General features: G+C 36.8%; 1 protein-coding gene across 1 annotated transcript in view; it reads left to right on the forward strand.

The window, feature by feature from the left end:
• KIAA1217 overlaps positions 1-22,454 on the forward strand; it is an 853,117-nt gene that overhangs the window by 16,237 nt on the left and 814,426 nt on the right. The window lies entirely within an intron of this gene.

Consider the following 22,454-nt stretch of genomic DNA (forward strand, 5'->3'; position numbering starts at 1 on the left):
TCTGTGCACATCCTTGTAAAATCTATATTAAAATATTTGCTTTAGGCTTCATCAAAAGTGAGACTATTGACTCTTACTCTTTATCTAGATGTGAGCACCACAAGCTCAGATGTGCATACAGAAGGAGTGAGGCACCAGATCTTCTGGGCCATCCCCAATACCGTGTGCTTGAATATGGATGAGGCTGGCAGGTTGGTTCCAGAAAGAAGACATTATAGGTGGAATGATGTTCCCTTAACCCCAGAAGATGTCCACATTCTAATTCCTAAAAGCTGTGGCTATTTTACCTCCGAAAGCAAAAGAGACTTTGCAGATGGGATTCTATTAAGAATCTTGAGATGGGGTTGATCAATGCCTTTGATTATCTAGGTGAGCCAATATAATCACAAGGGTCCTTACAAGAGGGAGGCAAGAGGGTCACAGAAGATGTGATGATGTAAGCAGAGGTCAAAGTGATCCACAGGCCAAGGAATTTGAGCAGCCTCCAGGAGACAGAACAGGCAAGAAACTAGAGTCTCTTGGCAGACAGCGTGGTTTTGGTCCATTGAGATTTCTGACCTATAGAACTCTAATGTAGTAAATTTGTGTTCTTTTGAGCTAGTAAGTGTGTGATTTCTTACAGCAGCAATAGGAAATTACTGTAGAAGGTTTGGGGACCTGCACAGATGTGCTTATTACAAGGGAACAAGATACAAAGGAGAACCTTCTGGGTGTCATCACAGAAAGTGAAGGACAAAGTAACCCTGTTCACCAGGAAAGCATGGTCCAGTTCATGTCAAGCTTCAACAGATGAAATCAACCACCTTCCTCTCCTGGGGAAGACGAGTGAGAGAAACAGAAGCTAATTAAGGTGTCTTAGTGGAGAGAAGTTTAACTCCAGGAATTAGAGGCTCACACAACCCTTGAAGGATGGGAAACGAAGCCTGATATGATCACTTTCAGGAAATCTAAAATGTGGGAATCGCAGAGAAACATGCTCCCTAAGTGAGTCACAGGAGGATGCCAAAGTCTATAGTCCAGACTCCACTTCTGTTGCCTGTCTGCAGACATTGTCAGAGAATGACCTTCACCTTCCAAATCTCATGTGAGACATTCTCAATGGTGGACTCTTCTAGTGACCCCACAGGCAAGGAAGAAATGTAGTTTCTAGGCTTCACCCCTCTAAAAGTCAAGGGCCAAACTGTACAGGGTATCAAAATACCTGGCACAGAGGTGAAGAGAAAATTATGGTAGAAGTTTGCTTCTCTGCAGTTTGAGGGTGGAAGGTAGAAAGAGGAACATAAGCATCTCTCCTTACATCCCTAGCCCTATGCTCCCCTCACCTGCATTCCCCTCACCAATAACTTAGAGTTTGCCAAGACTGGGAGATGGTCTTAGAAATGGAGAAATAACTCAGTATGATAGTCAGCAGCAAGCCAAGATGTTCATTGACTTGGCTACCATTATAAGCCAAGTCAATGAACATCTTGGCAAACTCTGAGTTATTGCAGAGCAGTGCAGTCAACTCAGTACAGAAAAGATAGGAGACAGATGGGAAATTGAATATTCGTGGATACGTTTTAGGTGATTGTGCTGTAATTTAACTATAACTTACCAGGTATCTATTTTGAACCTGCTTTATTTCAAGGGCACTTTTTTTTAAGCTTTTGACAAATAATTTAAGCCAAATTAATATTCATTGCAAATGTCAGGAGCAGTTGAGTTTTCTTTTCATAGAGCCTTTGAACCTGTTTATGGGAAAGATCAAGTGTTATCATGCCATTAGTTCTACTTTTTAATACAGGATAAAGTTGTACATGTCACTGTTATCTAATTACTAATAGCTATAAATACCAGTTAATTAAATAATGCAGGAATAGAATAAATTTACTATGCCGTGTTTCTTATTGCTCTCAATCAAGTATTTTTAGAAGATTTTCATATTACCTCTTTTCAGTTTTAATTGCCTCTTAAGAAGACAGAATTGCTTCTGGTATACCTGAAGCAGCCAAGGGGGTGGAGTTGTTAACATGTAATGCGGCTTGCAGGCATTTGGTTCAGTGTGGAGTCTCAGAGGGTGAAAGTGTAGAATGCCAGATCAAGGTTTCAAGCCATGAACTAAGAGTATGGAAAAGAGCTGGGGAGGAGTATGTTGTAGATGAATTGAGGTATTAGAAAATAGGAGTGCAGGTTGCAGATTACTAGGAAGCCACTGAATAGAACTGTTTGAAGCTATCGTACCTGCTCAGTAGCCAGGATGACTTTTTCAGGCCCATTCAGAGTAGGTTTTGGTTTGGTAACACTGTTTTTGCTTGACTTTTTGCTGCTAACTATCATACTGAGTTATTTCTCCATTTCTAAGACCGTAAGGCCAATATCAAGAGCTATTGCTTTCAGCTCCTAGTTACTAATCATTTCAGTTTTATCATCAGAGATTTTGTTTTTTTACTTCCAATGGATTAGTTCAGTTTCTACCTAGGCAGACTATCATGGACCAAAATGTTCTTCTCTAAAAATGCATGTTAGAAAATATTATCATGGTCCTTTTGGTGTTTAACAGCTTCTTTGGAATAATAATTTAAATTGTGTTGACCACTCTACACATCATATTTTCAGTTAATATAGAAGTTATGCTCTAAAATAGTCAGTTTCTAAGGTTTGGTTTAATTTCTTTGTGTCTTAGGAGCCTATGTTGATTTGAATGGTGATATTAATATCATTATTAGCTATCCTTACATAAGACCACCCAATAAAACTTTTTGGTATCTGTAATAAAGTTTGACTTTAATTTTTGCCAAAATATGTGATGTAATTCTGGAGTTGAAGACATCCTAAAAAAGAGTCAACTTAGATTACTGTATGCCCCAGCAAAATAATGCCTCATGATCACCTATTTCCACCTCTAGACAATTTCATTTATAACCTTGACTTCAAACCTAATTCACATCTGCTTAGCTCAGAACTTTCTTCTGAATTCAAACTTGCTTATACACTTTTCATTTTAGGTACCCCATCCAGCTGTTTCATAGGCACCTCACCTTTAATATGTGCAAATCTGAAATTATTAGTCTTTTTTCATTCCACCAGAACTTCTCTGCCTTCTATATTTCCTGGCAAAGGGATTGATGCCAGCTAGTCGTCCAAGTTCAGGATCTGAACATATCCTAGACTTCTACCTTTTCTCCATATCCAATCAGTTGCTAAGACCAACCTTCTAAATACATATTTCCCCTTCCCCGCTATCCTGTTTGTTATTATATTGCTGAAGCGTTCATGATGTTTCAGCTGGAACTATTGCAATAACTTGCTTACTAACCATTGTCTTAGGGCAGCTTCCACAGAAATCAAACCCTAAGAGGAATTTTTGTGCACAAGTAATTTATGAAGAAATTGCTCCCAGGATAGACTCCTGGAAAGTGAGGGAAAGTAGAACAGGGGAGGAAGAGAAGCCAAGCAAGGATGAGAACTTGGGCAAATTTCTGCAGAGGGTAGCTTCCATCATATCCTGCAGCCAGGGCGACACTAAGACTTTGGTAGAGTCCTTCCTCAATCAATCAATTGCAACTTGGACTTTCCTGAATACGCTATGCTGCCTCAAGATTCCTGCCTTTTCACCTGCTGGTCCACTGGCCTGAAATATTCTTCTTCTTTGGTTCCCTCCTCACTTGACCTCTGGACTAAAGATGACTACAAAGTTTTTTTCCTGCTCTCCCTTTGTGACTGTTCCAAGAAGTCTTGAGGTCGTTTTTCTATTCTGTTTTGTGAAAAGGCCATATTTGCGAAGGGAACCCCAAATACAAAAGGAGCTGAGAAACCAAAGGGTAGGGCAAACAAATCCAGTTTGTCAATAGAGGGTGGTTTATTGGGGAACTCATGGGCAGAAGCATGGTCTTGGGCAGTCATAAGACAGGTAGATCTCCTCACCATTACCCCAAGACCCAGAGCTTATATACCATAGAAAAAGGGTATATGTGCTTTAGCTCTAGAGGGAATGTGCAGGACAATTAAAGTTGACCCTTCATGGAAAGACAAGAACGCTATGTGCATCATAGCCTATAATTTGCCAAAGGGCAGGATATATGGTAAGTATGTGTTTATGATGATAACATCGAGATTGTACTGGTTTACAAAAGGAACAGTAAATAAGGCAGAAATATTAGAGGCACTCCTGGGATTGGGGTTAATCTGAAGTCAAAATGGCGGATTAGCATTCAAGATGGAGTTACTTTAGCCTCCTCTTACTCCATGGTGAGCTTCTCCTGGGCTGCCATAGCTCTGTGTATTGACTTGGTTATTTTATTTCATTGCAACTGTTATTTGCATGATTACCTTTCCCTAGTGGGGGATGGAAGAGACAAAATCTTTTCATTTTTATCCCTTTGGTGTTTAGCCCAACACTTGTTAAGCCAATGAAGGAAGTAAAGAAGTGAAAAAAATTGATGAAAGGACTGTGATTCCAGTTATGCGTATTAGATCATAAATAGTTTCTGAGGAGCTTGAGATTCCATTAGAATATGTGATGTAAGTAAAACTTATTTTGGCTTATTACCTTTTTACTATTGAGTATGATGAGACCTCATGGTAAAAGTTGTATCAATTTTAGAGTCTCTTTGATGTAGCTATAAGATTTTACATTTCTTTTATGACTCACCATGTAAAGTTTCAAATATGTACTAGAGAGATTTAAAATGAGCATGAAGTGATGACTAACATGTAAATTTGAGAATTTCAGTGTTAAAATGATAGATTTGTTTTCTCATCTACAAATATTATATTTTTAAATATTAGGTAGAACTGATTCTAAAGGAAGTAATCACATTACCCATATTTTAAAAATTAAACTTGCCCGTGAAAGAAAAGCAAAGCTTACATGACACTTTAACTTTTACAACATTTTATTTAAAAGATAAATGTCATTACTCAGTTCACTAAAATGACCTTTAAAAGCCATGATCTTTAAAAAAGAAATAGTTTTCTTTTAAAGGGAAACACATTGCACCAATTTGCAAGTTAATGGTCGAATTTTTGCCTTAACAGTGATGAGAAAGCAGAAATTGAGGCACAAATGATACAAATAGCATGTTTCAGTCTTGAAAGGCAATATTATTCCTTTTATTCCTTAAATAAGCTTTTACGGAAGCGTTCTGACTAACGCTGCATGCAAGAGATTTACGTACATACTTCCATGAGATGAGGATGTGTCATTAAAATATATGAACATAATAGATGTTGTGCACACAATATGAAACAAAACTATGCTTAGGGCATCTGGAAAGTTTCTCTTTATGAAATAAATGAACAATAGCTTTATTTAAATCTATCTAAAACCAAGCTCTGATTTACATATAGGGCTTAATTTGGATCATTGAATTTCCTTTGCATTGGTTTCTTATGCATACATTTTGTAGTAATTTTAAATATGTAAACTCATCAGCATAGTTTGTGTGTGTATCTGTATTCTAGGGGATCCTTTAGGCTAAATAAATGCAATATGTGAAAGTTTTAAATCACCAATTATTAATTAAGACATAAATTTCCTATATACAGTCATACCTACCTGCATTTACAGTGTGAACCTGCTTTGTCTTTCCTTGAATAAAATTAAAGTGATTGGATCTTTCCAAGTATCATATTTACAACCAACTTCTCCCTCTGGAGGCTCCCTCCCTTCCCCACCTCCAGCCTGGACTGAACACACAGAAGACTGGGTGTGATTTTATGATATAAATCAATGGAAAAGCTGGTCCACCTTACTAGGAGCAGCTTTTTAGATCAGCCTCTATTGTGCATATTCAAATATATTTATATGCATGTAACAACAAAAAAACATTCTTGTGGCTTTGTTTATTAAAGATTTCTTTCTGGACAAATAGATTTTGAATTATTGCTTTATAAAGTAGACCCCAATTTACTACATCACGTTTTTTCTTTGTCATCATCTATTGTTCTTTTGGATCCTAATTATTCATTTTTCTCATGTTTTAAACTTCTTATATACAAGGCTTATTTATACTTGTCACTCTCCCATGCCTGTCATAGTCTATATTTATATTTCACTTATTTTAAGAAAATGCACAGAAATCCATGTTAAACAACTAACCACACAAAAACTACATTCTCCTTCAAGATTAAACCCCTGCCTTACTTTGCCCCTTCTCTTCCCAGCCTGTCTTTTTGAAAGAGTTACCTGCTTTACTATCTTTACGTCTTCACCTTTTTGTCATCTCTAGGTTTCCGTGAACTTAAAATGCTTCCTGGTATTAAGAACTACTTGGTTGTCCCCTGTGCTTATGTATTTTTAAATGAAATAGGTTGAATTCCGCTTTTAGATTTTTTTTTTGCTCTGAATTAAGCTCATAGCGGGACTTATTAAAATGCAATTGCTAATAAGAGCTAATAATTACTGAGCACGTACTATAGTCCAGGCAGCATGCTAAACTCTACCTGGATTGTCTAATTTATGCATCACTATCACACTATGAGGTAGGAGTTTTGCCACTGGAGAACTCACAAGGCGAGTTTTGGCCATACTCTCCAGAATAATATAGGTCACCCTAAAGTCACCCCAACATGGAATATACATACATTGCTGAAAATACATCCCCTAAGGTTGGAGTTCTAAAATCAAAAGTCCAGTAGCAGGTGGGGTGGTTCAGGAGATTGATTTCTGAATGTTCTTATTATTCCTAATAGAATTTAAGTCTAGACAATAAAGATATATTCAATGACAGTAGAAATAGGGATAAGAAAAACAATAAACCTAAGATGAAATTAGTATGCAAAATGTATGCTAGAAATCCTCTACCCTTGGCAACATGAGCCTCAGACTTGAACTCTGAGCCAAAACGAAGATGAAAAAACTATCAGTGACATCATTAACTTTTTCTAAAATCAGAAAACAAACCACTTGTTCAGGAAAAGTTCAGTTCATCTAACAATGAGACTCAGGTCCTCATAGCAATGATCATAAAACATTATACACACATCCCTTTAAAATAGATGTATCTTTCCAAAATACATTTTTATAGCAATTACATAATTTTCTTGAATCATATTTTAGTGTAAAAATGAGCAGCCTTTTCTATTGGTTCGTCTAAGTCCTCCTTGCTTCCATTTTAGCTTACTTAGCTTATGATTCAGTAGGTGTGGAATCTATTAAGTTGGTGCAAAAGTTATTGCGGTTTTTGCCAGTTCCAAAACCAATGGCCAAAACTGCAGTTACCTTTGCACCAACCTAATATGTGAATTTCCTCTCTTTTTACCTTGCATGTCATCAATAGAAAGTGGGGCCACAGTAGTTAAAATAAGTGACTGCTTCTGAAATGGTCCTTCATCTATTAAATATCTCAGTACTTACAAGAACACTTGTATTTCTCCTTGTTTCTTTTTGGAAATATTTAAATGTAGTTTATAGAATAGCAGAAATATTCCAAAGAGCCATTTGTTTATTAAGCAAATTTTGTGTCAGAGGGAAATATTGTATAATGAAAGATGTGTCCCAAGTTTGTTTTTTTCCATGTTTAAATCTTTTTGTTTGCTTTGTTATTCCTCACAAGCTTAAAACAGTTTTAAAATTGCATAATGTTTTAGTTGCTGATAAATCCTTTATCGGGGAGAAGAGGATGTGGGTGGATAAAATTAAGACTATTGTGATACGGAATAAATTTGCAGAGCTGGAAAGCAAGGAAAAACTAAAAAAAAAAAACTTTTACAGAGATCTGTTTAGTGAAAAAACATAAGTGATAGGATTTCTCTTTGTTAAAAAGGACCATATTCTTTACAATATTTTCTTATAGCAATCTCAAGGTTTATTTAGATGAAATACCTAATACAAGGTTTTGGAACATCTACAGAAGTGTATTTGGGGCCATACAACTTGGAGAGAGGGATTGAGGGAGGGAGGGAGGGGGAGAGAGAGAGAGAAGAGAGAGAGAGAGAGAGGAGAAAGTGAAAAATGCAAACATAATTAAAGACAAAGACTTCTTTTCAAGAAATATCATTCAGTTAGATAAAATGTGCACAATAAACCTGTGTTTGTGTTTGACAATTCCTCAGAAAGCATCCTTAAACATGGTATTACCATATGACCCTGCAATTCCCCTTCTAAGCATATACCACAAGTAATTGAAAACAGATATTCAGACAAATAACATGTATACACTACATGTTCATAGCAGCTCTATTGACAATGACCAAAAAGTGGAAACAGTCCAAATGTCCATCAGTGGATGAATGGATAAACAAATGTGGTATATGCAAACAATGGAGTATTGTTCAGCCATAGAAATGAAGCACTGATACATGCTACAGTATGATGAAGCCCCAAAACGTCTTAATTGAAAGAAGTCTAGGCCTAGTCCGGGTGCCGTGGCTCATGCCTGTAATCCCAACACTTTGAGAGGCCAAGGAGAGCAGATCACTTGAGGCCAGGCATTCAAGACCAGCCTGGGCAACATAGCGACACGCTATCTCTACAAAAAATACAAAAATTAGCTAGGTGTGGTGGCACACACCTATAGTCCCAGCTACTCAGGAGGCTGAGATGGGAGGATTGTTTGAGTCCAGGAGGTCATGGCTGCAGTGAGCCAGGATCATGCCACTGCACTCCAGCCTGGGTGACAAAGCGAGACCCCCTTCTCAAAAATAAATAAATAAATAAATAAATAAAAAGGAAGAAAAAGCTGGACATAAAAGGCTATATCTATATATATCACACCTGTAATCCCAGCACTTTGGGAGGCCAAGGCAGGCGGATCACAATGTTAAGAGATCGAGACCGTCCTGGCCAACATGGTGAAACCCCATCTCCACTAAAAATACAAAAAATTAGCTGGGAGTAGTGGTGCATGCCTGTAGTCCCAGCTACTCAGGAGGCTGAGGAGGATCTCTTGAACCTGGGAGGTGGAGGTTGCAGTGAGCCGAGATCGCGCCACTGCACTCCAGCCTGGCAAGAGAGTGAGACTCCGCCTCAAACAAACAAAAAGGCTATATAGTGTATGATTACATTTATATGAAATGTTCAGAATAGTTTAATACTAGAGACCAAATGAAGATTGGTGGTTGCCAGGGCCTGGGGAGAAGGGGGGAGGGTGGTGGAATAATTGCTTAATAGGTAGGGGATTTGAATTTAGTATGATGGAAATATTTTGCAACTAGATAGAGATGGTGGTTACACAAAGTTGTGAATGTACTAAATGCCACTGAATTGTATAATTAAGAATGGGTAATTTTATGTTACGTGGTTTCCACCTCAATAAATTATTTTAGAAATAAGTGTTTGCCTCCAGGACTGAAGAATGGGGAGTTGGAGAGAGGGGTGGGGCATTGTCATAGTATTTTGGTTTTAAACTTTACAATAATGTCTAAATTGTAAAACTATGTGTGTCACTTGATAAAATAAAATTCATTTAAAATTTTTACTAAATGTTGAGTAAATAACAAGGAAATGTCTAAGTCCTAGAAAAATGTTGACTAATAAAACTGATTATAGGTAGTATTGAGGATTTTTAAAAGAAATCTCTTTGTGGACATTAATTTTGAGCTGCACTTTTGAGGCTGAGCTGAATAGACTGATAGAATGAACGAGGGTTTGGGAGTGGGTGGCATAAGAGGCGGGATATGAAGGGGACTGGGAGGTACAGCCTTATAAAAAGGACTTCCCCAAAGATGAAAGTAGAGGTCATGGGAATCCAACAATTGGTTACTTCCTCTCCATCTTGTTTGCACCAAACACTTTACCTCTCTCTGCTTTCAATTTATAATTAGTTAAATGAAAAAGATATTGGAATCCCCATATCATGGAACTACTGTAAGAATAGTCTGTCCTGGTATTGGAAAAAAATTCTAAATTTTATCGATAAAAATTCAATGTAGGTATATTAACTACTTTAAGCCCAGAATTATTCCACTGATGTTCACAAGTCACCCATAGGGAAGTGGCTCTTGTTCCCTAAGGGATGAAAAATATGAGTCTTGGTTTTGCTTAGAAAATTAAAACGAAAAGGTATGAATTCCACTGACACCTTTGTAACTTAACAAAAACCTTAAGGATCTTTTTGGATTCATGGCATTCATAATAGCTTCTACCTACCCAATTCTGTAGAGGCTTTAGTAGTCTTCAAGTCCTGTTTCTTAAAGCCTATTAAAAAATACATTTTTAGAATACGACATGTGAGAACTTCATAAAACATTTGGGAAATTAGCCAGTTTCCCTGAGCGTGTGCCCTTGAAAAATCAGATGTAACTTCCAAAGTGACTCTAGGAATTTCAAATTGCCACTCACAGTGAGAATCCACTCCTTCATCCCATCTTGACACTTCTGCCCAAGAAGAGCAACTGCTGGGCATATTTTGGAAAGTGATTTAGGGCTTCTTGCTCCCAGTATTATTTTAATTTAGTGTATTGGAGCTGTCAGCTTTCACCTGACTGACTCTGATGGACCCCACGCATTGCACAGTGTATGGGTAAAATAATAGGTAAGACATTATAATTTATTGAAGTCAGGGTTACTGTTATAAATACTCATAGCATCTTTTTCCTTTTTTTAAAAAATCATAAACTCCTACAATTGCTTTCACTGCTGGTGGTATTCCTTTTCAATGCTTATCAAAGTGTAAGTAAACAAATAACCCATGTTCTCGGTGACATAAACCAACCTAAACTAACAAAGAGAATTAAAGATAGTCTCTGAGTATGGTTACCTTGAAGATAAATAAATTGTTAAAAAAATTCCAGAAAGTTTTTCTAAGAAAATTTCCCTCATTTAGGAATCATATTTTTTGTCTTCTAAGACAATGAAATAAATTAACATAAGCACACTGGTTCTAAGTTTAAAAGAAATCAACCCAAATGCCTGAAGCTCAGAAAGTGAGTACTCCTAATAAAATATTTGAAATTTCACTTTTCCAGGTACAAGTTTCCTGTATTTTATCATTTTCTTGTGCCTACTAGATTTCCTATCTTTCTTGCTTTTACAAATATTTCCTTGTTGCAATCCAAGTGTCCCATTGATGGATGCATGGATAAACGAAATGTGATGTAGTCATACAATGGAATATTATTCAGCCCTAAAAAGGAAGGAAATTCTGACACATACTACAACATGAATGAACCTCGAAAAACTTATGCAAAGTAAAATAAGCCAGGCACAGAAAGACAAATACTGTATGAATCCAATGATATGAGTTACTTAGAGTAGTCAAAGTCAAGAAGAAAGTAGAATGGTGGTTCCCTGAGGCTGGGGGAAGGGGAAATGTGGAGCTATTGTTTAATGAGATTAATGTGTATAATGAGTCTCAGTTTTGCAGTTCAGTTTTGCAAGATGAAAAGAGTTCTGTGAGTGGGTGGGGGTGATAGGACTATGACAATAAGAATGTACTTGAAGCAATTGAACTGTACAGTTAAAAATGGTTAAGATGGTGAGTTTTATGTGTATTTACCATAATTTTTAAAATTAAAAACTTAAAAATAGATATGAAAAGAATGGTTTTAGTAGTTTTCCATTAAGTCTATCATCAGCTCTTTAATTAGGATAAACACTTAGTGTCTTGTTAGAGAAAAAATCCTTGCCTTTATTTTATTTGTAAATTCAAATGATGTTGGATACAAATATTTTCCATATATATTTAGCTTCTTAAATATAGTCTGTTTTCACTCTTGGTTTTTAAGATGTGCCATCCTTTGAAGTAACAAAAATGCGATATAATATGCTTTATGTCTGTAATTTCATTTTAATACCACAATTATTGGTGAGGAAACTCTTACCAATGAGGAAACTGATGCTCAAAGAAGTACCTTGTTCCAGGTCATATAGTGCTAAGTCAGGATTTGGGCTTAGTCTGTGCAGTAAGAAGCTTTGGACTGCATGTAACAGAAATCCCACTTCAGACTGGCTTCAGCAAGGAGATACCATAGTTCTCACATTCCAGTTCCTAAGGAGTAGGCTTCAGGTCTCGAACCCTGGGTCCAGCTGTTCCTCTGTTCCTCCCTTTATTCTGCCATATCCTGAGTGTTGGCCTCACTCTCAGATTGGTGGCAAAATGTAGCCAAAGCCATTCCCGAGTGTCATCAGACAGCCCTTCAATAGGTTTCATCACGCACCTCATTGGCCAGGCTTGGTCACATCCATTCTTTGACCAGTCACTGGCCAGCAGAAAGTAATGAACTAAAATTAGAATTTGGGGCCACATGGATATTGAGAAGCTCATGGCCGTGACCACTTTAGCCTGCTTGACTCTCCTATAGCATGCCCCTTCCTTATGGGTATTGATGCTTTTCATCTCTTTCTGCACTGACTGGCCCCACACTCCTGTGCTTTTGGGATGATTGTATCTGGCTTGTTACAGCTTCTCTAGCTCTCTTTGTCACTGTGAGCTGCTCCTTCTGGTTTCTATTAGTGTACTTATTCCCATTCCTTCTCTGGTTGCTTAATTGTCTGTTGCTTAGCTGCTGTGCCCTGGGAAAATGAAAAAAAAATCACCTTATTAGAGATTTTTATAAAAATTTAAAAATAGACTAATAATAATGGCATAGTGGTCTCTTCTAAGAAAAAAACAAGTAAGTCTTAGTGCATGCATCTTGGATCACCACTTTTTGCTGTTCAGATTCATTGTTGCACATTTACTGCTTCAGCTCTAGTTTCCTAATAGTTAAGACTGGTTCGTGAGTCATTTCCAATTGCAAGTATTTCATGTTACATAAAAGAGTATATAATTCTTTTATGTTTTTCAAAGCTATTATGAAATTAGCTGAATGAGAATTTTTATCATTTTTAAAGAGATCCTTGCTAAGAAAGCCTTGTAGTTGTACATACTAGGTTTGCTGTTTGCTGATTTTTTTTAAAAAATGTTAAAATTCATATGTGACAATAAATACATGTGTATTAGGCCGTTCTCAGATTGCTATAAAAATATCTGCGACTGGTAATTTATAAAGAAAAGAGGTTTAATTGGCTCATGGCTCTGCAGGCTGCACAGAAAGTATAGTGGTTTCTGCTTTTGGGGAAGCCCCAGGAAGCTTCGAATCATAGCGGAAGATAAAAGGGGAGCAGGCATCTTACATGACAGGAGCAGAGACAAGAGAAAGCAAGCGGGGAGATGCTACACACTAAAATTACCTAAGAACTCACTCACTCCTAAGAACTCACTCACTTTCATGAGAACGGCACCAAGGGGATGGTGCTGAACCATTCATGGGAAATCTACCTGCATGATCCAATCACTTCTCACCAGGCCCCACCTCCAACACTGAGGGTTACAATTAGATGTGAGATTTGGGCAGGGACACAGATCCAAACTATATCACCTTGGTAACCCTAAACTTTGCTTCTTATGTATTTTTTTTAACAAGATTTGATAATTCCTATGTGCTTTCTCTTTCCAAAATGGTAAAAAGTTCTATCACCTAAATGTTTAACTTTGAATGTTATTTCTGTATATATTTTTCATTGTGTTATTAATTTTAATTTTTCCTTCTGTGAATTTTAAATTCTATTTAATTAACAATTTTCTATATTTCTTATGCTTAACTTTTAAATCATGCATTGCCTTTTATCTTTTTCAAAAGATATTATCCAAGGTATTTTTACAATGGTGTTAGATTTTTCAGTAGTGGGAGATAATGTTAAAAGATGGTCAAGATTTTGATTGGCAGACTGGATAACTTAGCAGAGTCTCTCAAATTTTACCCCTAAATATCCCTAAAGGCAAAAGAGAATGAAGGATTAATTCTATAATTTGGGTGGCTAGCCCTAAATGGTCCCAGAAAGTCCACTACAATCTCTTTAAGCCGTTCTGTTTCAACTTAAAACTTCATGTACATTTTTTATTTCCCTCCATAATAGGTGTGTAATTATTTTAATGTGAGTTATGCTTTAATTAATTGTCATTGAGTTAACTGATATACCAGGAAGACATGCCATGTGTAACTCTTGACTTTGCCTTCATATTATCCCATTTGCAGGAGGACTTGTATATCTGGTCCATGACTCTGGCTTTGTCTTAAGCCCTCCCAGTCCAAGCCTGCCAGCTGCTTGAAGTCATTGGTTCTACCTTAGTTCTACACAGAGGGAGCCTCCCTACACCCAAAACTTTATGACAACCTTTCATACAAGGTGCCTCCCCTCTGGCCTGCCTATGTCATGGGTTCTCTTTCCTTTCATGTCTTCAACTACACCACTTCTGTGTTTTTAGCAGTTTTCTTCCCTTCTAAACCACATATGGACTCTTGTCATCCTGCCTTCAGCACCCTGGTATAGTTGGCTCAGCCTATGCTGTGGAGCAGGACCTAAAAACTGAAGATTTTAATAAAACAGTGTGACTGATTCAGAGTCTTAATGGAAGTTTGCTCCAAGAGTGGTCTGTGAGAAAAGTTTAAGTGGGAACTACAGAGACAAGGCCACCAGTTAGAATGCACATAGAAGGCAGTTTCAGCAGAAAGACTGGCATGATTTGATGTTATTGTTTAAGGAATACACAGAAACCATGACCTATGTCTTGAATTATACTTCCCCCATCCTTTACAGGCTGTGATGTGGGTGAATGCTGATTCATGTGAAATTTCAGTTATTTTCCTGAGGGTAACATTATGATTGCATTCATGTATCAGATCTATGAGAATATGACATAATTAAATATTACACAGAAAATGAGCTACTTGCCCCCTTCCTTCCAAGTAGAATAAAATATGGAATGCTGTAGTTAATGGAATAATTAATGTCCACTACTGATGACAGTGAATTCTTTGGCTCAGAACAACACATGTCATTTTGCTTACATGCATGGCTTGTTTATTCCTTGAACTTTTGACTTACAGAGACTAGCATTTTACTGTAATAAACACTTGGTTACATCTGTTATAAATTGAGCACAATTGGTTTTTCCAAGAATAGTAGCGTTCCAATTCTAGACCAAAATTATAAGCAGCTGTCTGCTAATAGATATGTATACCAACTTCCACCTTTGTGCCCTCTTGTTTAAAAAGGTTGTCTATACCTTAGAAATCAAGTTAAACTTGATGTAATTTCTTAATTTGAAAACTATGCTTTATGATTTTGTGTTCTTTCCCCCTTTCCTCACTCAAAAAGGGACCATTCTGTATGGAAAGAAAATAGTGTTTTATGGTGTTTGCAACTTTTTTCTTCCTACGATTTTAAGGAAGTATTTCTCTTAATTTTTTCTACCATTTGAACTAAATTTAACTTTCAGTCTTTCTAAGTTCTCATGGGGTTTTAAATTCATCTTTTTACAGTTTTCTTAGTGGTTACTTTTCTGTAGTATTAACCTCTATAAAGTTTCTAGGATTTGGGGGAGAGTAAAACTAATTTGTTTGTAAAAAGTAAGCCTAGTATTTGAGCATGAGTTTGGTTTTTTTTTTTTTAGACAAATCATATTTTTTATTTGAAACTTCAGATTACATGTTTATTTTATTTATTTTATTTTTTATTATACTTTAAGTTTTAGGGTACGATGGATTAAAGACTTAAATGTTAGACCTAAAACCATAGAAACCCTAGAAGAAAACTTAGGCAATACCATTCAGGACATAGGCATGGGCAAGGACTTCAAGTCTAAAACACCAAACACAATGGCAACAAAAGCCAAAATTGACAAATGGGATCTAATTAAACTAAAGAGCTTCTGCACAGCAAAAGAAACTACCATCAGAGTGAACAGGCAACCTACAGAATGGGAGAAAATTTTTGCAATCTACTCATCTGACAAAGGGCTAATATCCAGAATCTACAAAGAACTCAAATTTACAAGAAAAAAACAAACAACCCCATCAACAAGTGGGCAAAGGATATGAACAGACACTTCTCAAAAGAAGACATTTATGCAGCCAAAAGACACTTGAGCATGAGTTTTGCATTTTCTTACTAACTCTCTTAAATTACAAAGGAAATGTAATTCACATATGAAAATCTTGGCATATATAGAAAAGTAAAGAATTTCTTGTGAGCTTACCAGAATCTCAATACTGCTATGATAATTTTAGGATATTTAATTCCATGCCATTTCCATGCCATTTGTATAGGCCTCTTTTTTTTTTTTTTTTTTTTTTTTTTGAGACAGAGTCTTGCTCTGTCACCCAGGCTGGAGTGCAGTGGCATGATCTTGGCTCACTGCAAGCTCTGCCTCCCAGGTTCACGCCATTCTCCTGCCTCAGCCTCCTGAGTAGCTGGGACTGCAGTTGCCTGCCACCAAGCCTGGCTGCTTTTTTTGTATTTTTTTTAGTAGAGACAGGGTTTCACCATGTTAGTCAGGAAGGTCTCGATCTCCTAACCTTGCGATCCACCCCTCTCGGCCTCCCAGGCATCTTTCTAAAAATAAAATTGTTAAACCAGGCATGGTGGCTCACATCTGTAATCCCAGCACTTTGGGAGGCCAAGGTGGGTGGATCACCTAAGGCCAGAGTTTGAGAGCAGCCTGGCCAACATGGTGAAACTCTGTCTCTACTAAAAATACAAAAATTAGCTGGGTGTGGTGGTGCACACCTATAATCCCAGCTACTTGGGAGGCTGAGACAAGAGAATCACTTGAACCTGGGAGGTGGAGGTTGCAGTGAGCCGAGATCACCCCACTGCACTCCAGTCTGGGCGACAGAATGAGACTCTGTCTCAAAAAAATTTAAAAAAAAGTTGTTATGATGCACATACATAGTTATATTTTTTTCATTTAATATTTTTAACGTTGCTTTTCAAAAAATAGACATTTTAAAATTACACTTTAAGTTCTGGGGATACATGTGCAGAACGTGCAGTTTTGTTACATAAGTATACATGTGCCATGGTGGTTTGCTGCACTCATCAACCTATCATCTACATTAGGTATTTCTCCTGATGCTATCCCTCCTCTAGACCCCCCACCTCCCGATGGGCCCTTGTGTGTGATGTTCCCCTCTCTGTGTCCATGTGTTCTCATTGTTGAACTCTCACTTATGAGTGAGAACATGCAGCATTTGGTTTTCTGATCCTATGTTAGTTTGCTGAGAATGATGGTTTCCAGCTTCATCCATGTCCCTGCAAAGGACATGAACTCATCCTTTTTTATGGCTGCATAGTACTCCATGTTGTATATGTGCCCCATTTTCTTTATCCAGTCTATCATTGATGGGCATTTGGGTTGGTTCCAAGTCTCTGCTATTGTGAATAATGCTGCAATAAACATACATGTGCGTGTATCTTTATAGTAGAATGTCTTTATAGAAGAATGATATTATAATCCTTTGGGTATATACCCAGTAATGGGATTGGTGGCTCAAATGGTATTTTTCGTTCTAGATCCTTGAGGAATCACCACACTGTCTTCCAAAATGGTTGAACTAATTTACACTCCCACCAATAGCGTGAAAGTGTTCCTATTTCTCCACATCCTCTCCAGCATCTGTTGTTTCCTGACTTTTTAATGATCGCTATTCTAACTGGCATGAGATGGTATCTCATTGTGGTTTTGATTTGTATTTCTCTAATGACCAGTGATGATGAGCTTTTTTCCATATGTTTGTTGGCTGCACAAATGTCTTTTTTTGAGAAATGTCTGTTCATATCCTTTGCCCACTTTTTGATGGTTTTTTTTTTTGTTGTAAATTTGTTTAAGCTTCTTGTAGATTCTGGATATTAGCCCTTTGTCAGATGGATAGATTGCAAAAGTTTTCTCCCATTCTGTAGGTTTCCTGTTCACTCCGATGATAGTTTCTTTTGCTGTGCAGAAGCTTTTTAGTTTAATTAGATCCCATTTCTCAATACATTCAGGACATAGGCATGGGCAAAGACTTCATGACTAAAACGCCAAAAGCAATGGCAAAAGTAGACTTTTTTTAGAGCAGTTTTAAGCTTACAGCAAAACTGAGTGGAATTATATACAAAGATTTCCCATATCCTCCCTGCCCTAAGACAAGCACAGCCTCTGCAGTCATCAATATCCCACACAAATGTATGATGACATGTATCCACCATTTGTGGTACCACACAGAACAGCTTCGCTGCCCTAGAATATCCTCCGTGCTGCATCTATTCACCCCTTCCCCCACTCCCAACCCGACTGACCTTTTTACTGTCTCCATAGTTTTGCCTTTTTTTCAGAATGTCATACAGTTTGAATCCAACAGTACATAGCCTCTTCAGATTGTCTTCTTTTATCTGCTCACATGCAGTTAAGGTTTCTCCATGTCTTTTCATGGCTTCATAGCTCATTTCTTTTTAGTGGTGAATAATATTGCATTGTCTGGATGTACCATAGTTTACTTACTCATCCACCTACTGAAGGACATCTGGTTGTTTCCAAGGCTTGGCAATTATGAATAAAGCTGCTATAAACATCTGGGTAGAGGTTTTTGTGTGAACATAAGTTTTCATTTCCATTTGGTAAATACTAAGGGGCATGATTGCTGGATCATATAGTTAGAATATGTTTTGTTTTATAAGAAAGTGCCAAACTGTCTTCCAAAATGACTACACCATTTTGCATTCCCACCAACAATGAATGAGAGTTCCCGTTACTCCACATCCTTGCTAGCATTTGGTGGTGTCAGAGTTCTATATTTTGACTATTTTAATAGGTATGTACTAGTATCTCATTTTTGTTTTAATTTGCATTTATCTGAGGACATATCATATAGAAATTCTTTTCATATATCTATATTACTTCTTTAGTAGGGTGTCTGTTAAGGTCTTTGGTCCATTTTTTAATTGGCTTATTTGCTTTCTTATTGTGGAGTTTTAAGAGTTTTTATATATTTTGGATAAGCTGCCTTATCAGATATGTCTTTTGCAAATATTTTATTTCAGTCAGTGGCTTGTCTTCTAAATTTCTTGACAGTGTCTTTCAAAGAAGAGAAAGTTTTAATTTTAATGAAATCCAGTTTATTCTTTCTTTCATGGATCATTCCTTTGGCATTGTATCCAAAAAGTAATTGTCAAACCCAAAGCCCAAAGTCATCTACATTTTCTTCTGTTATTTTCTATGAAATTTTTTTTTTTTTTGACATAGTCTCACTCTGTCACCCAGGCTGGAGTGCAGTGGCACGATCTCTGTTCACTGCAAGCTCCGCCTCCCAGGTTCACACCATTGTCCTGCCTCAGTCTCCCAAGTAGGTGGGACAACAGGCGCCCACCACCATGCCTGGCTAACTTTTTGTATTTTTAGTAGAGACGGGGTTTCACTGTGTTAGCCAGGTTGGTCTCAATCTCCTGACCTCGTGATCTGCCCGCCTCGGCCTCCCAAAGTGCTGGGATTACAGGCGTGAGCCACCATGCCCGGCTTCTATGAATTTTAAAGTTCTGCTTTTTACATCTGTGTCTAGATTCTTTTTTTTTCTTGCATGTGGATGTTCAGTTGTTTCAGCACCATTTGTTGAAAATAGTCTTTTCTTTATTATATTTCCTTTTCTTATTTGTCAAATATCAGGTGATGCTAGTCTGTTTTATTAATCTATTTGTCTACTGTTTGGCGAATACCGTACTGCCTTGATTACTGTAACATTCCAGTAAGCATTGAAGTTGAGTAGTGTCAGTTCTTCAACGTTATTTTCTTTCTGAGTATTTTGCCTTTCCATATAAACTTCAGAATCAGTTTGTTCATATCTACAAAATAATTTGCTAGGATTTTTATTTTGATGGCATTTAATTTATAGATCTAGTTGGGAAGAACCAATGTCTTGACAATATTGAGTCTTCCTATCCATGAACATGGAATATTTTTCCATTTTGTAGTGTCTTTATTTTATTCATCATAATTTTGTAGTTTTTCTTACATAGATCTTGTATATATTTTGTTCAATTTATACCTAAGTATTTTATTTTTGAGGAGATGCTAATATAAATGATAATGTGTTTTAATCTCAAATTCTTTCTTGTTTATTGCTGGTATATAGGAAAGCAATGGACTTTTGTATATTAATCTTGTATTCTGAAACCTTGCTATAATTGCTTGTTAGTTTCAGAAGGCTTTTTGTTCAGTTCTTTCAGATTTTCTTCATAGACTAACATATCATCTGCAAACAAAGACAGTTTTATTTTTTCTTTCCAATCTGTCTACCTTTTAATTCATTTTCTTGTCTGATTGCATCAGCTAGCACTTCCAGTTCAATGTTGAAAAGGGGTGATAAGAGGGAACATGTCTTTTATTTCACTTTATTTTATGCTTTAATTTGGGAAGGAGAGCTTTTTTTTCAGAAGGGTTTGCAGTCTGCAGGATGGCCATCCTGACAGGCCAGGAATCATAGCCTCTGGCCAGAAGCCAGAAATAGATACTTTGAGGGAGGGGAAGGTGGAACAGAAATTTACGCTGAATGAGGTGGCTAAATATACATACTCAATAAGCCATAGGAAAGTTCATGAATGTTTATAAAAGAAATATGCACATGCACAGTTGAGCTTTATGCCCATTCCTGGGTCCCCTGTACAAAAAACAGTGGTGTTAGCATAATCTGAAGGTGGACTTTTGAGTCCTCTGATGTCAAAAGGTGAACCAGAGGACACAAATACCTGTACTACCCATTCTCTGTGGACTGACCAGGAGCGCTTCATGGTCAGTGGTCTCTTATCCGGTGAAAAAGGAAGTACAGTGTCAGTTGCTTGGTCCATATCAGTGGTGGAGTCTTTTGAAAGGGCTGGTTTCTGTTAAGCCCTTAGGGAAGAAAGCCTAAGCCCGGTTAGGGAGGGAGGGGGTACAACCAGGTAGGTATGAACCCCCATCCCATCATTTTTGAGAACTCAGTTTTCGTCCTTGCCTTGTTTTTGATCTTGGTAGGAAAGCTTCGAGTTTCTCACCATTAAGTATAAGGTTAGCTGTAGGGGATTTTTTTTTTCTTAAATATTCTTTATCAAGTCAAGGGAGTACCCCTCTAAGATTTTTGTTTTTTAAATCATGAGTGAGTGTTAGATTTTGTCAAATGCTTTTTCTGCAACTATTGATATTATGATGTGATTTTTCTTTTTTAGCTTATTGATGTGATGGATTATGTTAATTGATTTTTAAATATTGAACCAGCCTTGCATACCTGGGATAAATCTCACTTGGTTGTGGTGTATAACTCTTGTTATACATTGTTGGATTTGATTTTGTTGAAGAGTTTTACATATATGTTTATTCATAGTATTAATCTATAGTTTTCTTGTAATATATTTTTCTGGTTTTGGTATTAGGATAATATTGGTCTCATAGAATGAGTTAGAAAGTATTCCTTCTGCTTGTATTTTCTGAAAGAGATTGTAAAGAGCTCGTGTAATTTCTTCTTTAAATGTTTGATAGCATTCACCAGTGATCCATTTAGGCCTGATGCTTTTGGTTTTGGGAGATTAATAAATATTGATTCAATCTCTTTAAACTTTAAAAGATATATAGTTGGCCCTTCATATCTACAGGTTTCACATCTATGGATTCACCAACCATTGATCAAAAATGTTCAAAAAAACCCAAAACAACAAAAACAAAAATTAATACAACAATAAAAAATAGAAATTTAAAAATCAATGGTTTTAAATTGTATAACAACTCTTTACATAGCATTTGCATTGTATTAGGTATTTTAAGTAATCTGGTGATGATTTATAGTATACAGGAGGATGTGTGCTATTAGTAATTTGTGTTCTCTCTCTTTTTTCTTAGTCTGCCTACAGGCTTACCAATTTTATTGATCTTTACAAAGAATCCGCTTTTGGTTTCATTGATTTTCTCTATTGATCTCCTGTTTCCAATTTCATTGATGTCTCTCCTAATTTTTATTTTTTTCCTCTACTTACTTTTGATTTAATTTGCTCTTTTTCTAGTTTCCTAAGGTAGATAGCTAACTGGTTTTTTAATCTTTCTTTTTTCCTAATATGTGTATTCAGTGCTATAAAGTTTTCTCTAAGCATTACTTTTGTTGTACCTCACAAATGAGATGCAAGTTTTTTACATGCCAGACTGGAAACAAGAACTTTAACATTGCTCTTTTTTTCTTATATAATCTTCAAAATGATCAGCTTTAATGCCTTTACATCATACTTTGGAGAGATACATGATGATTTACTTAATGTATTTTATATTAAACATTTATATCACTTCTCACTATTCCAAATAAACACATAGTGTATGTTTTTGTTTTTTTTTTGAACCCTAGTCTCACTCTGTTGCCCAGGCTGGAGTGCAGTGGCGCGATCTCAGTTCACAGCACCATTCACCTCCCAGGTTCAAGTAATTCTCATGCCTCAGCTTCCCAAGTAGCTGGGACTACAGATGCCCGCCACCACACCCGGCTAATTTTGTATTTTTAGTAGAGATGGAGTTTCACCATATTGGCCAGGCTGGTCTCGAACTGCTGACCTCAAGTGATCCTCCCTCCTTGACCTTCCAAAGTGCTGGGATTATAGGTGTGAGCCAAAATGTGTGGCCAAAATGTAAGAATATGTTTAAAATTTAAAATTTAATACTTTAAAAATTCTTTGATAAATCGCTTTTCAGTAGTACAATCATTTTTGGTATCATCAGGGAATTGTT

Source organism: Homo sapiens, chromosome 10, assembly GCF_000001405.40.
Source record: "Homo sapiens chromosome 10, GRCh38.p14 Primary Assembly".
Classification (NCBI taxonomy): domain Eukaryota; kingdom Metazoa; phylum Chordata; class Mammalia; order Primates; family Hominidae; genus Homo; species Homo sapiens.